The 15,322-nt window shown below is 44.9% G+C and overlaps 1 protein-coding gene across 1 annotated transcript in view, besides 2 other annotated features; it reads right to left on the reverse strand.

The window, feature by feature from the left end:
* ASIC2 (acid sensing ion channel subunit 2) overlaps positions 1-15,322 on the reverse strand; it is a 1,143,682-nt gene that overhangs the window by 335,670 nt on the left and 792,690 nt on the right. The gene's annotated exons all lie outside the window — the stretch shown is intronic.
* Positions 13,611-14,112: an enhancer, noted in NCBI's record as "NANOG-H3K4me1 hESC enhancer chr17:31689385-31689886 (GRCh37/hg19 assembly coordinates)". NCBI's record gives its function as "activates a minimal SCP1, AML or CMV promoter by ChIP-STARR-seq in naive H9 embryonic stem cells {active_cell/tissue: H9 hESC(naive)}" and the evidence as "EXISTENCE:reporter gene assay evidence [ECO:0000049][PMID:30033119]".
* Positions 14,113-14,612: an enhancer, noted in NCBI's record as "NANOG-H3K4me1 hESC enhancer chr17:31689887-31690386 (GRCh37/hg19 assembly coordinates)". NCBI's record gives its function as "activates a minimal SCP1, AML or CMV promoter by ChIP-STARR-seq in naive H9 embryonic stem cells {active_cell/tissue: H9 hESC(naive)}" and the evidence as "EXISTENCE:reporter gene assay evidence [ECO:0000049][PMID:30033119]".

Consider the following 15,322-nt stretch of genomic DNA (forward strand, 5'->3'; position numbering starts at 1 on the left):
AAGCTGGTCTCTTCTCTCCTGAGGTTGCATAGTGGTGGTCAAAGGGGTGGGGTTTAGGTGGTACCTTGTGCAAAAGGTACCACCTAACCTAGAGCAGGGATCTCATGTGTCCCCAGCCCAGACCACCGAGGTCAATAAGCAAAGCAGGCTGGGCCACGACTGTGGGAAACCTGATCGGTGCTTCCCAGTCTCCAACAGGCAAACAAATCCACTAGGGATCCTGTTTGAATGCAGACTCTTATTCAGTAGCTCTGGGATTGATCCCGAGATTCTGTGTTTCTGAAAGTGCTGGGTGACACTCTTATTACTGATCTATGGACCACACTTTGAGTAGTGAAGACTGGAGAGTCTGTGGTCTGCTGAAAGGAGCGGCTGCTTCTCACCTGTACCTATTGTTGTCATATGAGAGAGAAGGCTCACTATGGTCTTCTGATTTCTGAAGAGAAGCCAGAAATCTGGATTTTTATGTAAAATCATCCCATTTAAGAATATTGGCAAATAATTAAAAATGTAAAATGCTCTGTGGACCAAATAAAACATGTGTGAGGGTTGAATTCTGCTTATAACACCACTGCTTGTGATTTCTGATGGAGAGGAATCCAGGCAGAGTGAGTATCAGGTGAGCACTGGACTGGGGTCAGTTATTATGGGTCACAGAGTCAGCTTGGCCTTTGGCACTAGAGGTCACCATTCGTAAGGCACCTTGATGTTGAAAAACAGTTCTCCAGGCATGTGGGCTGATGCCCTACCAGGCCACCTTCATTCTTACCTCCCCAAGAACTTTGTTCTTCCTGCTCCCCTCATCCCGAATGCCCTCCAGCTCCACCCAAAGCCGAATCTATCCCACTGACTTTCAAAGTGGTTTAGGTGGCAGAGTGCCTGGAAGCTTCAGTTTTCTTTGTGAAATGCCATGAAATATTGACATATTTAATTCCATCACTCATACCAGAAATGATTTTTCTAGCAGGAAATACAGCTGTATTATATGTACTCAAGTCTCTGCAACTCAAAAAGAAAATAATCACACATAAAATATTTTGAAGAAAACACATTCCTGGTTTCCCATTAGCATTTATTCCCACTTGTTTCATTCTTTGTGTCACTTCCAGCACTGACTAGTAGATAAGTGGTAGTCGGCACTCAAAATTTAAGAACAATTTATGAAAAAAAAAGCCTTGATATAGAGAAAGTATCTATTCATTAAGCTAATGTGTTCTGGGAATTGGAACTTCTTTTATTCTATTTAGTGGTGAAAACTCTCAGTCTTCCTTGTGGGATGGTAGTGTTCCAAGAAAGACTGGGCCGACAATTTGCCCATGTCTTATCGGTTCTTCACAGTCGGTGGAGACCCACCTTCCCTATTGAGTCTCCTTGGATTCTACCTGTTCCTTTTTATCATCCATATGACTGAGGTGCTATGCCCCAAACATGTATTTATTTCCTGATTACATGTCATCTTAGGTCGGTGTGGCATGTGTCTATGCCTTGCTGCCCAGACATAAGCTCATGCAGGCTGGGACTATGTCTTGCCTCTCTGCTGAGCCAGCAAAGGGCAAATAGCAGCCTCAAGACTAGCACCCTGTGTTCACGATCCTTGGGCATTTTAGAGCTTTTCTGAATCACTTAATTTACTTAATCACTGGCCAGGCACGGTGGCTCACACCTGTAATCCTAGCACTTTAGGAGGCTGAGGTGGGTGGATCATCCGAGGTCAGGAGTTTGAGACCAGCCTGGCCAACAGGACGAAACCCCGTCTCTACTAAAAATACAAAAATTAGCTGGGCGTCGTGGTGTGCGCACCTGTAGTCCCAGCTACTCAGGAGGCTGAGGCACGAGAATGGCTTGAACCCGGGAAGCAGAGGTTGCAGTGAGCCAAGATTGCACCACTGCACTCCAGTCTGGGCAACAGAGCGAGACTCTGTGAGAAAAAAAAAGAAAGAAAGAAAGAAAGAAAGAAATATTTAACCACTAACTTCTCTCTGCATCTCAGGACCTCAGCAACACCTAACCTTCTATGAGTCACAGAAAAACTAAGAATCTGATGATCTTTTAGTTTCTTGTTGCAAAAAAAGAAAAAAAAAGCCCATTCATAGAAGATAGCATCATAGTATCAGTTTAAAAAAATCCCTGAATCTCTCTTTCCTTAGAACGATCTCCAGGAAATGTGATCTCTTTCTGTTCTAACATTTTGGGATTCCACAGCATTTCCTCATTTCCTTTCGTGTTCCATCTCTGTCCTGTCTTACCTCTCAGGGAGAATCAGCTAATTCTTTTTCTCCTTGATGTTCTTAGTATAAGGACTATCTAGCCTTTGGTGTCAGAAAGCCCTTGAGTTGCTTATCAAATATGTGACTTGACAAGGTACTTGAATTCTTTAAGCCTCAGTATCTATGTCAGGAAAATGAGGATAATACTAAGATCTACATCATAGAATGAATCTGAAGGATTCAATGGTATTTGGCCCCCCTCCTCCCCTCCTCCTCTCTGACTGCCCCTCCCTACTTCCAAAGGCCCCCTTTCTGTTTGGAGGCTGACTTGGTGTTGGCACAGTTCCAGGTCTAAGCACCATGAGCAGCCCCACTGTGAATGGATGGACAAGAGGTCCAAGCTGGCCTTAGGCCAGACGTTCATCTCTTCTCATGCTGCCACATTAAGCCATTCAGGAAACATTAGCTCCCAGGTTGAGATGTTTCCCCACAGGTCTAATGATTTCCCATCTTCTCTCATCAGATGTGTCCCTATTTACACAGCCCCCAGGTACAGAGCCCACTGGGCACTTTTCTCCATGGGATACTCCCTCAAAGTGAATCCCTACCTCTCAGCAGCATGCTCCTCTCACACATACTGTATTTAGGTCTCATGTTTTCCTACCTCCAAGCTGTACTCGTGATTATGAAATGCTTGATTGTGGTGCCTGTCGAAATGCATTCATAATGCAACTTTAAGTCTCACAGAAAATTTTCAGGGGAAATTAAAGCCTTGGGAAGACCAGCACCCTGTGTTTATGATTCTTGGGCATTTTAGAGCTTTTCTGAAGGTTTTCTTTATCCTTGCACTCAGAACAGGGAAGGAAGAGACATGTAGATGTGGCATGGAGTGCTGGGGGATGAGGATGGGGGAGTCGGAACCTCTTGGTTCTGGCCCTGCCACTCCCCAGCTGAGACTGTGTGAGCAGCAGCAAGTCTAATGACAGCTCAGGTTTTTAGCTGTCTTCTTCCTTCTGCATGCTCAGGACTCACCGCCTGTCTGATGTCTGCTCCTCAGCCTCCTAGATGGTCCTCCCCTTGAGTGTTTTGTCTTGTGTCTTCATCTCTTTGCTTCCTACTCCCTGGGTTAGCACCTCCACTCCCACAGCTACAAATGCCACCCCTCTGAGCATGGTTCCTCAGTCTCTATCTGTAGCTAAAATCTCCAACTTCTTCCATCTGAATCTCGACTTTACCTGGATACCTGGCAGGGACTTCAAAATCAACATGCCCAGAACTGAACTCACACTGCATCCCACTCCTTCCAGGTCACCCATCTTGGTGACTAGCCCTGTTCTCTCCTCAGGCACAATAGTCCAGATATCTCAGAAGTGCCCAGTGAGCCCCCTCCATGAGATGCACTTGAAGCCAGCCCATTACCCCCCAAGGCTGCCACCCCCTACATGGGAGGCCCTTCTTACCTTGTGCTTGCACCTCTTACTAATGATGAGGCCTGGGCTGACTAACATGGCTCTCCCTGCTTTTGTAAAATGAGAAGCTTTAGAGAAGATGATCTCAGAAGACCCTTCTGACCCTATCTGTCTTTATTTCAGTTATCATCCATCGAACTCTGTGGCTCAAAACCTTGCAATAGTCTTGACCCTGGATTGTCCAAACCACCCTCCCAACTTTGCAAGACTGGAGAAAATCCTGTGATGTTCTCCATGACTGACTCCTGCTGCCTTCCTTGCTGGCCTCCACACCACCCTCATGCTTTCAGTTTCAGTGTGCAAGGTGCATGCACCTCAACACTCAGCAGGTCCTCACGTTCACCTGCTGCCTCTCAGGCTCCATCCTGTGCAGTTTCTCTTCGGCTGTTAGAGTTTCTCTCCCTCTTTCCCTTCCTGGCCTTCTCTCATGCCCCTTACCTTCTCTTTCCCATGGTCTGTTGGGTGAACCCTCCCTCATTCTTCAAGGTTCAGATCAAGCCTCACTCTTCACAATACCCGACCCCAGAGCTAATATCTGTAGCACTGTTTCAGTAGAGATGCACCAATAACATTTACCCATCTGCCTCTCCACTGGATTCTGAGCTCCTTAAGCGTCCTGACTTTGCATTCCCAGAGCCCAGCACAATACTTGCACAAAATTCAGGTTCAATAATTGTATTGTGATTGAATGGCTCCCTAAATCTATAATATTCAATCTCATTAATTTGGCATTTTTAAGACTCTTTCCATTCCAGATCCACCAAACTGTTAGCTGTTTCCCTTAAAGTGCATTTTACTTAGACATTCACCCTTCCATAATCATGCACTGAACATGCCCATTGCCGTGGTGGGAACTTTTGACCCTCGACCTCTACCTGTCTCATGCCCATAAGTCTCTATCTATTCTTTTTTGTTTGTTTTTGAGACAGGGTCTTGCTCTGTCACCCAGGCTGGAGTGCAGTGGTGCAATCACTGCTCACTGCACCCTTGATCTGGGTTCAAGCAATTCTTCCACCTCAGCCTCCTGAGTAGCTGAAACTACAGGTATATGCCACTGCACCTGGCTAATATATATATTTTTAATTTTGTAGAAACAGGGTTTCACTATGTTGCCAGGACTGGTCTCAAACTCCTGGGCTCAAGTGATCCTCCTACCTCAGACTCCCAAATTTTGGAATTACAAGCGTGAGCCACCATGCCTAACCTTACCTTATTTATTCTTTAAGGCCCAGCCAAATGTCACTTTTTCCTCTTCCTATTCTGGATCCAGGAGTGACCTCTTCTTCCTAGGAGTCCCATAGGTCTTGGAACCATTTTTATGATCCTCAGTTCTTTGGGTGTTATAATAGAGTGATTCAGTCAATTAATTCATCTTTAAATACATGTTCTTCAGGGCTGCTCTGACCAAGCACAGGGTCTCCATCAAGGCTATACTTGCCATGTGTATCTTAGAGTATTAGCCCATTCTCTTGCTGTGAATAAAGACATACCTAAGACTGGGTAATTTATAAAGGAAATAGGTTTAATGGACTCACAGTTCCACATGGCTGGGGAGGCCTCACATTCATGTTGGAAGGCAAAAGAGGAGCAAAGGCATGTCTTACATGGTGCGGGCAAGAGGGCATATGCAGGGGAACTCATCTTTATAAAACCTTCAGATTTGGTGAGACTTATTCACTATCATGAGAACATCATGGAAAAGACCTGCCTCCATGATTCAATTACCTCCCACTGAGTCTGTCCCACAACATGTGGGAATTATCACAATTCAAGATGACATTTGGCTGGGGACACAGAGCCAAACCATATCACATGAGTCTCCTCAAGATCTCTACCAATGGTGGTTCATGACGGTCTTTAAATCCACTCATCCTCATGCTCTCCATCCCCACTATGAGCCCCCTGGAGGAGATCCCTCATCTCTCACCTGGACCAGAGCAATAGCTTCCTAACTGGTCTTCTCACCTCCACTGCAGCCAGCATGAAATATAACTATGCAAATGTGACCAAGCTATCCCCCACATAAGATCCTTCAGTGACTTCCCACTGCTCTTGGGATAGAGGCCTAAACCCTCAGCCAGGTCTATTCCACCAGCTCTCCCTGCAGCCCTACCCCCATGGCTTCCTGCTTGCTCTCTGCTTTCCAGCAGTGTGGTCCTTCTATGTGCTCTGGGTTCCTTCCCACTCCAGCCTGGGCCCAGGCTCTTCCTCTACTGGGAACATTCTTTCTTCAGCTTTCCCAGGGATCTGATGGGCCCCTACTCATCCTTCCAGTCTCAACTCAACATCACTTTTGCTCCTGGTTTCCACTCCTATGGCAGCTCCCCTGTTTATATGCTCAGCATTTATCCCAGTTTGTCAGCCTCCTAGGATGATTACTTGAAGGCAGAGCTCGTGTCCTTTTATTTACCATTGCCCTCTCCCCTCTGCCTCTGTCCCCACACATGTGCACCTATTTCCATGTCCAGCAGAGAGCAGGCACCCAGTACACATCTGCTGAATGCGTGCTGACATTCATGGGCTGCCCTTAACAGACTGGGAGCAGCCTGTGGGCAGGAGATGCAGCTTATTAATCTTGGTTGGAAACAGCAAGTTGTGTTGTGTCCATGTGTGTAAGTGTGGGTATGTGTATATTCGGAGTGCTAATTGGTGCCAGATAAAACAAAAAGCAATGTGGATCACCTGAGATCAGGAGTTTGAGACCAGCCTGGCTAACATGGTGAAACCCCAACTCTACTAAAGTTATAAAAATTAGCTGGGTGTGGTGGCATGTGCTTGTAGTCCCAACTACTCGGGAAGCTGAGGCAGGACAATCACTTGAACCCAGGAAAGGCAGAGGTTGCAGTGAGCCAAGATTGTGCCACTGCACTCCAGCGTGGACAACACAAGACTCCGTTTCAAAAAAGAAAAAGCAATGAAGCCCATGTACAGGAATGTGAGAATGTGAGAAACAGATTCAGAGAAGCAGTCTGGGGGTCAAAGCCCATCTGAGCAAAAAACAGTAAAGCAGTGCCTAGGTTTCCATTGCATAGTGTCCTGAGAAATTTTCTGGAGCAGGATTTGGCATGGGGGTGTTTAGATGGGGGCGGGGGCTTTAAAGACCCAGGCTCCTTCCTCCCTTTTGAATTTCTTAAATGCACAGCTTTTAAGATTGTAAATTATTTGATTGTAAGGAGCATATTTTATCTATCTTGGTTTCCTCTGTTCCCATAACAACCCTTGATAAATAGTAGAAGTTTCATAAATGTTTGCTGAATTGGATTGACTTTATCCTAATCATAGCCTGAGCCCTGGTAAGATCTGTTTATTCATTCAACATTTACTGTTTATCTACTATTCATTCATTCTTTCAACATTTTTTGCATACCTACTAATTGCTAGGCAATGGGGCTACAGCTGTGAACGAGGCAAAGTTTCTTGTTTGCTCAGAGCTTAAAGTGTAAGGGGAATTGAGACAGTATAATCAGTACTGAAGTAGGAATGATCAGGGGAAAAGGGATCCCAGAGAAGGGTAAACGAACCTAGACCTGGAGCTAGGGGTAGTGGTCAGGGAAGGCTTCCTGGAGGAAGTGACTTCCAAGATGAGGCCTGACAAATGAGTAGGAGACAACCCAGAGTAGGGGATAAGCGTGAAGAGTATTTAAGTCAGAGAAACAGCATGTGTAAAAGTTAGAGAACTCCACATCATTCACTGATTCACCAAGGCAGGTGTGAAGGATAGGGGTAGGGTAGCAGTGAGTGATGAGGCTGGCCCCTGAGTGACACCTGGCCTGATTATAGAAAGTGCTGGGCCAGGTACTTTAATTAATTCTTTTCTATTAAGGCTTCAGGACAACCCTATAAGGCATGGATCATCATTCCATTTTATTCAGATAGAACTCAAGAAAATTCAGGGGCTCAAGGAAGTTCTCCCAGTTGGTTAGCAGTGGGGCCAGGCTTCAGATCTATGTCCCAGGGCTTTCCCACCCCTGAACCACCTCCAGATTCTGAGGCTATGCAAGAGGAAAGGCATTCATGCTGGGCGGACATTGGACCAGAAACACAAGCACACCCCTCCCTGATGATGTGGGTGCAATCTGCATTCCTAGGCTCACTGGCTGGTCTCCACCATAATTACTATCTTCTGTGTGCCACCTGGATGGAGCAGGAAGGGGAACTAGAAAGGCCACCACTACAGACAGCACTTTTAACACGGAGCGTGTTAACCTCTTGTCTTAATAGTATTCAAATGAGGCCCCCAACCCAGTGCACTCAGGGCCAACACCTGGCTGCACAATTTGGATGGAGCGCCTCAGTCCCGAGGAGCATGAAGATCTCATTATGTAATTAGGTCTTTGGAAAATGAGCTATTATTCTTTGGCTCTGCAATCACGGGCTTGATGCAGCTTAGGGATCCAAGGGGATGCTGGGGGTGTGTGTCTGTTGCTCACTGCTGCTGCTGCATGAAGACTGTTACAGAGCAAGACATCTCCAGAACGTCCCAACCTCTGGGAGGAAGGAAGCGGGACTTCTTTCCTCATCTTCCAACAGGGAACAGCTTAGGGATTAGGGACCGTCTAGATCGGTGGTTCTCAAACTTCTTTGAGCATCAGAATCCCCTGGAGGTAGAGCCCAGCAACCTATGCTTTAACAGTTCCTCCAGGGAGTTTACTTCAGAAGATTGTAATTATGGTAGAGACCAGCCAGTGATCTGGGGACCGCACGTTGAGAACGGGGCCCTCTGGAGTAAACTGAGGCACCACCTAATCCCCAGCTTCCTCAGGAAGTCCCTCCAAGTCCTCACCATCAGATCTGAACTCCTCATTGTTCACATATGCACAGGGGGTACAGTTGAGCTTCAAAGTTTAGCGAGGGAGAGAAGAAGGACAGGTGTTATTCCTATTTTTCATATCAGGAAGCTGAAGCCCAGGTTCCAATGACTTAGAATTGGTAGAACTGGTAATAGAATCTAAGTCTTCTGTTAGCCATTGCAACAACTGGCCAGACTTAAATTTGCTCCAGTAGATCTTAGGCAGTTAGTTATTTCCTTGAGCTCAGGGCAGTTGGGACCACTATCTAGGCACCCAAATCTATATGCTTATCTTCTCCCTGGGCACCCAGCTAGACCACCTTTCCTGCCTTCTTTCTAGTCGGGTAAGGACGTGTTACCAATCTCTCTCCTTTGGAATGCAGTGGGAGTGATGAGTTCTTCCAGGCCTGGTCCATATAAATCTCCCACATGTATTACTCCTGATGCTCGATGGAATGTCAAATTCCAGGGTGACTTTGGAAGTTGTGAGAACCTGGAGCCCTGAGTATGTATGTGGAGGAGAGTCATCTGTGAGTGGAACAACTATCTAGAACTTTATATAATAAACTTCCATTATGCTAAGCCTCCTAAATTCCGGGGTCTATTTGCTATGATGGCCTAACCTGCTCTAATTAATATGGTTAGTTTCTTAAAGTATGATCTCAGGATGACTTGCATCAGAGTCACTTGCTTTCTTAAAAGTGAGATGCCCAGGCTTCATCCCATCCCTACTGAAATGGAGTCCTTGGCTGCAGAATCTGGCAAAGCTGTATTTTAACAAGTATCCCAGGTAGTTGTTATGCACACTGAAGTTTGACAATCATATATTCTGGATCTGGGGGTTGGCACACTATAGCCCACAGCCAAATGTGGCTCGCCACCTGTTTTTGTACAGTCTGTGAGCTAAGAATGGATTTTGGTTCAACAAAAAAATCAAAAGGATAATTGTATTTTCTAACGTGTGAAGAGTGTTATTGGACTACAGCCATGTTCATTTGTTTGTATATATTTTTGGCTGCCTTTTCACTCCAACGGCAGAAGAATAGTTGAGTCAGAGACGATATGGTCTGCGGAGTCTAAAATATTTACTATCTGCCCCTTCACAGAAAAACTTTGCTGACCAATGTTCTAGATCCTAAAATTTTACTTTGTAAAATGCCTCCTGATGGATAGTAATGTGTAGCAATGACATCATGACCTATGGATTTAGAGTCCCTTGTGACATGGACATGAGAGAACAAATATTATCATTCATTCATTCACGTATTCATTTTTGTAGTGGACATTTATTGGATGCTCTCAAAGTGCTGGGCATTGAGTTGCAAAAGGGAACATGATGAGTGCACAATACATAAGCTTGGCAATTATGCTTTTTCCATGACAATGAAACTCATTATTAAATAAGAGACTAAACAATCACTAATCTCTAATTACTGTATAAGAATGTCACATGTTATTTCACAGGGACTTTTGTAGAAGGTGTTAACAGAAAGGTTCATGCTAGGAGACAACTGCTCCTATTGAAGATCCTTCATTTTATAGTAATGGAAAATAGTAAAGGCTGAACTCAAAGCAATTGCAGAGAGTTAGGGACCTCTTTGTATTTTCTTCCTTTTAACACGGAATGATGTGAACCAGTAGAAGAGGTAAAAATTTCCCAAAAGACAACACCTCCCTTAAAGCTAGGTATAGCTAGTCATCTACAAATTTCTAGCCAAAAGAAACAAGATAAATCATGTGGAGAACTTTTAGAAAGGTTCCTTAAATAGCGTGGACTTAAGAAGGTGGGGAGCCTCTTTGCCCCCCCTTTCTCTTCCAGCAACAATGGAAGAGAAAGAAGGTTCGGAACTCCCTGAGATGACAGTTGGGAGAGAGATGATCTAGATATACTTGAACATCATGGCCTTGGCCACCTAGCAAGCTCTAGGCAGGTGGAACAGGTGAGCCAGCCAGAGCAAGTTGAAAAGATGCTAATGGGAAGGCCAAAGAGACATAGCTAACTCCCACATGATCCAAACACAAATTAATCTCTGAGAATTTGGTTCTAAGGTTGAAATGTAGGTAAGGTGCAAGAGGTTTCTAGGTAGCACTGATTCTCAGTATTGGGTATGGTCTAGCTTTTAGGTCAAGGAGGTATATCCAAGTCAATGAAATGAATTCCTGAAGAAGGATTCGATCTTAGAAGAAAGAGTCAATTGAACATGAATCCATGGTATGAGGCCACCACTACCTACTTGGTCAGGGGTTCATGGCCAAGCTCCAGTTCTGGTAGAAGCAGCTAAAAGTCAATAGCAGAACCAGAGCAAAAAATCAGACAAGCAGTGAGGCCAAGTAGCAATGCTCAGGGCTCAAGAGGTACCTAGAACTTAATTATCATCCATGCACCAAAAACTTCTCCCCTAAAGCTAAATATAGCTAGCCATCTAAAAGCTCTAGCCAAAAGAAATAAGAGAAATCATTTGGGGAACTTGTAGCAAAGTTCCTTAAAGGGCACTAACTTAAGAAAGTAGGGCACCTTTTTGCCTTCCCTTCCTGTTGCCTCCCAGAATACAGATGTGATGGGTGATGCTCCAGCAGGCATCTGGGGCTATGAAGTGACTTTGAGAAAGGAAGTACATGCTGGGATGGTGGGACTGAATTCCATGGGAGCCTGCATCTCTGTTAAGCCTGAAGCAGCCATGAAGCAGTCTTTGGTTTGCTTGTCTCCAGACTTCTTTTATATTCTATAAAAATAACTTTTTATCTTATTTAAGCCAGTTATTTGGGGTTTTCTGTTACATAAAGCTGAACTTACTCCTACCCAATACACCCCCTATCCAGGAGCATTTCCTAGTATGGAGTACATGTGTCACTGATAGTAGACAAGCCATCTTTAGATAGCATTAACTCAGATGAGCATGGATCTATGATTATGTATTTATTTTAATATATACTAGAGAAAATATAGCCAGCACTTCAAACTTGTGATTTCATGGATAAGGCTCATGCTGGTATTTACATTTAAAAAGAAAGTCAATTTAAAATAAATGGTTGAATAAATAATAGAACAACCAGCTTGCAAGAACGGCAACTGTAGTGAAGGTAGAATTTGAATGACTGAATGTTTGCAAGCAGTGCCATAGGGAATGATGGTGAAACTGGACCTGCCTTGTTGGGAGACCCAGTGCTTACCTTGCCTACAGCAGGGGCTCAGTAAATGTCTGTGGAATGAATGACAACGTACACAACTTTCTCCCTGAATGGGCTCCAGCTTCTCTCTGAATACCCTTGCCTCTGCCTGTAGCCCACCTCCTCCCTGCCTCTGGATAAAAGATCCTAAGCTCTTTCTTTGTGTATTTTTCTAATCTTCTAATATGCAATTGTTGTTTTCAAAGCACAAGTCAGTTACCTGCTCTTGGGGCTTTTACTTTTCAGGTTTTCTTAAACGGAACTTTTAGCCTTGGCCATTTCACAATTCTTTGTTTATTTCTTTCTCACACTGGCTCATTGGTTGGGCCCCATTTCATGTGGTTGAAATAAAAACAGAAACTGCCTCCCATATAGAAGATCTATGGCTACTTGTTTCTCTAGAGTATTAATATATTTTTCACTTGTGGCCACATGGAGCCCTAACTAGAACCTGTCTCCTAGGGATGGGAGGAAAGAGGAATTCCCTTGCTTTTAACCAGCTCAGCTACAGCAGGGACCTCCCACTGCAGAACCTCCCTTAATCTCAGCATTGTTCCAAAACCCATCAGAAGAACAGTGAGCCTGCCCTGGGTTTGCAGACCACTTTACAGAGCTTGGAGTGCTTTCAGATCTCTAATCTGAGTTTCTGCCTGTACAAGGAGACCTGGAACCCTTGTTGGTCTTCAGTCCTTTGGGCTCACTCGCTATTGCAAAAATCTGGAAAAGGCTGGGAGGAGCATGTAGATAAGGAGGACCCAACCTTGAATGGAGGATAAATGAAATGTCTAAGGAGGAATAATGATGTGCTGTGTTCCCATTAAGATGAACCATGACATTATGGGAACTGGGCTCAGGGAACAAAGGGGAAGCCCACTTGGGAATTCATGTGGGATGGTGGAGAGAAAGAGAAATGGTATAAAGGATGCCCAAATGTCTTGGAGAGCATTGAGAACCAACTGAGGCAGAGTGACGAGAAGTGGCTTCTGCAATGTGGACCTGATGGTGAGAGGTGGAGCTGTGGCTAGGAGAGTAATAACCAAATAGCCTTATGCACCTGCAACCTCTGGTTAGCTCCATTGGTACACAGAAGTAGGAAATATTAACAAGAACCAACTTCTGGAAGTCTGGTTTTTAAATGTTGGTATCTGTCAGTATGATCTGTGTTGGTGGTAACTGCCCTACCTGTTGTAATAATACCCAGCATCCTATCTAAGCTTTATGATAACAGTCAAGAAAGCAGGGCCAGGATGATATCCCCATTTTATAGTAAAAAGACTGAGGTTTAGAGAGTCTTACCGAAGGTCATACTGATGATGGGTAGCAGAATTTAGTCTAGATGCCAGGACTCCAGTTTCCTTTCCATCACCCCAGTGACTCTGCACTTTGTGATTCACAAAGTAAGACATATGGAACAGTTCTTGCCCTTGCTAATGTAACAATATCCTTTTCCTTGTAACTACTGCCACTTCAGCCTTCCTCTGTGTATCTGGCATCTCCAGTGGGTCTATATCTACTTGATTCTTCTCTCCTCCTTGACCTTCGCTTGGTTTTATGGTCTCTCCAATGACTTCTTTATTTCTCTTTTTTCTCTTCCAGACGAATTTAATTAAGAGAAAAATTTAGAGGTTGGCACTAGTTTCTGCTGTGTGTTATACCTCGGGTAGAACTAGTTGGGAGTGGTGGACACTCAACTTTTCTTCCATCCTTTCCTCCTACATAGATTGGCTGGGTGCCATGCTCTGTGTGGGAAGCAAGAGGAAACAGGAACAACTAGGGGAAACCTTACTTGGGCTCTAGACCTCTTGGAGAATCTGATGAACAATTTAGCCTCTCTCCCTTAAAATGTACTTGTCCCCATTTGACCAAGGTTTTTGCTTGAAATTATAGGGTTCTTGAATGCCTTGAAGCCTACCTGTAAATGCCAGAGACGTGTGGCTAAGAAGGGGTGGAGGGTGGTGCAGCTCTTGATGGGCAAATAGCTGGTGACACTGTAATACAGTCAGTGCAGAGAGGAAGACAAGTAAAGAGCTAGAGGAGTGCCTGGGTACTGCCAGTCTGAAACCAGGAAGGTCAGGTCTGCAGAGTAAGCTCTGGATGATGTTGGGGAACACAGTGTGGGGCAGAGGCCAGGAGTTTAAACTGGATCAAAGCAGAGATCTTGCAGGTAAGAGGGCATTTAACTGGGGAGTGTCAGTGCCTCCCTCTTGAAACGGTGGTGACAACATCTTTCTCACAGGATTCTTGGAACTGTGAAAAGATAATGGATAGGAGAGCCCTTACTCCTGCATTGTCTCCACTGACCCTTGTGCCTCTCCAGGGCAGGGACCTTGTGTTTTCACAAAATCCCTAAGATCTAGAACAGTGCCTGACATGAAAGAGACGCTCTTCAAATGTATATGTATTACAATCACCAGAGCAGGCATTGTTTGAGCATCTACTGAATAAGCAAATGAATGGAGGGAGGCAGACATGGAGAAAATGGTTTGATTCTATCCCAAGGGGGTGACATATCAGCTTTGGAATTGCCCATCTTACACAAATAAATGTTGTCCTAAAACTATATGTGTGTAAATTGAAGTCTGATAAGAAAAATCCTCTTAATGACTTTGATAATAATTTCAGAGAATCTTTGCTTCTATTTCCTCTTGATTTAAAATTGGCAGTTGCCTAATATATGGGCCCCAACAGCACTTTTTTCTATAAAGGAAGAAATGCCCAGAAAGTCAACTCTTAAGTGTACCAATAATGAGGGGGGAAGAAAAGAGGTCACTAGTAAACTTTTACATTTCAAAAGACTGCCATTTTCCAAGCAGAAACTCTTCAAATGTCTCAATTGACTCACCCACAGAACCAGGGGCAGGGGGAAGAGCAGAAGACAGCCTGCACCCAGCCTCTCAGAATTAAATTATTAGCTCCATTTTACACTTTAGAAAAGCATGGCTTAGAAAGGTTAAGTGACCTGCAAAAGCAAGTTCAAGGTGGAATAAGAGGCAGTGACTTTTCCGTTGGTTGCTGCAAATGAATGTTAGAGAAAAACTGAGATTTTATAAAACTGAGGTGACTCATAATGTAGAAAATCCTCCTCTCTGCTCCCACCTCTTTCCAAGCTTTGTTCATGAGGCAGTGTTTGCACAGGAAGGACAACAACAGCTGGACACACCTGGGTCAGAAACCTAGCCCTGCGTTCCGAGCTGCATGGCCTCTGCCACTGAACACCAGTGCGCATGTCCATTTACCACCCACCCTGCTCTGTCTGGTCCCCATTCACAGGTCAGTTGGGCCCAGCTCTGGGGGATGAGTGTTGGGAAATGAGGAGAATCCAGAGAAAAGTTGCCACGGCAACAGGGGAGCAGTGGTGGCTACTCTCTAAGGTGATCTATGGCTCCACACACGTCAGAAGGTTTGCTTGTTTGCTTTCCATCTGGACCCTCCAAGCTTCCGGGCACATTGGGGGAATATTAATGGCACTCCCTCCCTCCTCTCACCCTTTCCTGGGGCAGCCACCTGGGCTTTGGGTACCACCTGCAGCCAGCCTCCCGGAGACAGTCTGGAAAGCTGCTTTGGTTGCTAGTCTTCTTTCCTCACTGCATAATGGACACATCATGTCTCAGAGCTGGAAGTGATCACAGAGATCTTTCTGGCCCAATGCTCTTGTTTGATGTGTGGGGAAACTGAGGCTCAGGGAGGTA

This window comes from Homo sapiens, chromosome 17 (assembly GCF_000001405.40).
Source record: "Homo sapiens chromosome 17, GRCh38.p14 Primary Assembly".
NCBI classification, from domain to species: domain Eukaryota; kingdom Metazoa; phylum Chordata; class Mammalia; order Primates; family Hominidae; genus Homo; species Homo sapiens.